The sequence below is a fragment of the Homo sapiens genome, chromosome 15 (assembly GCF_000001405.40).
Source record: "Homo sapiens chromosome 15, GRCh38.p14 Primary Assembly".
Taxonomy (NCBI): Eukaryota; Metazoa; Chordata; class Mammalia; order Primates; family Hominidae; genus Homo; species Homo sapiens.
The window spans coordinates 55142544-55144432 of NC_000015.10; the positions used below are offsets into that span (position 1 = coordinate 55142544).

General features: G+C 47.8%; 1 annotated feature.

Annotated features, from left to right (window-relative positions):
* Nucleotides 1073–1234: a silencer, noted in NCBI's record as "fragment chr15:55435814-55435975 (GRCh37/hg19 assembly coordinates)". NCBI's record gives its function as "represses an EF-1alpha promoter that drives an FKBP-Casp9 reporter gene in an ReSE screen in K562 erythroleukemia cells {active_cell/tissue: K562}" and the evidence as "EXISTENCE:reporter gene assay evidence [ECO:0000049][PMID:32094911]".

Here is a 1889-nt window from a genome sequence, read left to right on the forward strand (position 1 = left end):
AAATAGACGAAGACATCATGTCTATTTCATTAAATATATTTGAAAAGAAAGGAGCCATTCGGTGTTTCACTGGCTTATCTGATCACTGAAAATCACTACAAATAGCAATCCTATGTCTGAAAGGATTACACAACAGCATCATCACACAGTAATCCTGCTCGCTGCTTGTAGGGCTATTATCTCTCCTAGTTTCTACTGAACCAATCAACTTGAACCTGTTTTTAAGCCAAAGAAAGAAAATGAAAACCAGCCAGCAAAATAGAATCCTACAATCCCCTGCAGAAATAATCCTGGAAGTCAACGTTTTCCCCATCAACAATAAAAAGCCTGGTACTAATTTAAACCTTCATTGCCACACACCATTTTCAGCTCTCCACAGGACACTGAAGTGGGACCTCTGCTCCTTTAGGAGGCCTGTGTATGATCCTGGCTGACAAATATGGGTGTAAATTCTCCTGAATAGCAATTCCTGGAAGAAGGGGATGTGTAAGGTGACATATCCTCAATTATTCCTTCACATCTTTGCATGTCCTCACTCTAACAGATACTAAGCTAGACCTTAAAATGCAACAGTAAATTAGATACAGGCCTTGCCCTTGAAGAGCTCCCAATCTGAGGATAAAAATCAAATAATTGGGCAGCTCCAAGATGGCCAAATAGGAAGAGCTCCAGTCTACAGCTCCCAGCTTGAGCGACACAGAAGACAGGTGATTTCTGAATTTCTAACTGAGGTACTAGGTTCATCTCATTGGGGCTTGTCGGACACTGGCGTCAGGACAGTGGGTGCAGCCCACTGAGCAAGCATGAGCCAAAGCAGGGCGAGGCATCGCCTCACCCGGGAAGTGCAAGGGGTCAAGGAATTCCCTTTCCTAGCCAAGGGAATTGGTGATGGATAGCACCTGGAAAATCGAGTCACTCCCACCCTAATACTGAGCTTTTCCAACAGTCTTAGCAAATGGCACACCAGGAGATTATATCCAGCGCCTGGCTCAGAGGGTCCCACGCCCATGGAACCTCGCTCATTGCTAGCACAGCAGTCTGAGATCCATCCGCAAGGTGGCAGCGAGGCTGGGGGAGGGCGCCCACCATTGCTGAGGCTTGAGGAGGTAAACAAAAGAGCCAGGAAGCTCGAACTGGGTGGAGCCCACCACAGCTCAAGGAGGCCTGCCTGCCTCTGTAGACTCCACCTCTAGGGGCAGGACATAACTGAACAAAAGGCAGCAGAAACCTCTGCAGACTTAAATGTCCCTGTCTGACAGCTTTGAAGTGAGTAGTGGTTTTCCCAGCATGGAGTTTGAGATCTGAGAATGGACAGACTGCCCCCTCAAGTGGGTCCCTGACCCCCGAGTAGCCTAACTGGCAGGCACCCTCCAGTAGGGGCAGACTGACGCCTCACACGGCCAGGTACCCCTCTGAGACAAAGCTTCCAGAGGAACGATCAGGCAGCAACATTTGCTGTTCAGCAATATTCGCTGTTCTGCAGCCTCTGCTGCTGATATCCAGGCAAACAGGGTCTGGAGTGGACCTCCAGCAAACTCCAACAGACCTGCAGCTGAGGGTCCTGACTGTTAGAAGGAATACTAACAAACAGAAAGGACATGCACACCAAAACCCCACCTGTATGTCACCATCACCAAAGACCAAAAGTAGATAAAACCACAACGATGGGGAAAAAACAGAGCAGAAAACCTGAAAATTCTAAATATCAGAGTGCCTGTCCCCCTCCAAAGGAACGCAGCTCCTCGCCAGCAACGGAACAAAGCTGGATGGAGAATGACTTTGACGAGTTAAGAGAAGGCTTCAGACGATCAAACTACTCCAAGCTAAAGGAGGAAGTTCAAACCCATTGCAAAGAAGCTAAAAACCTTGAAAAAAGATTAGACGAATGG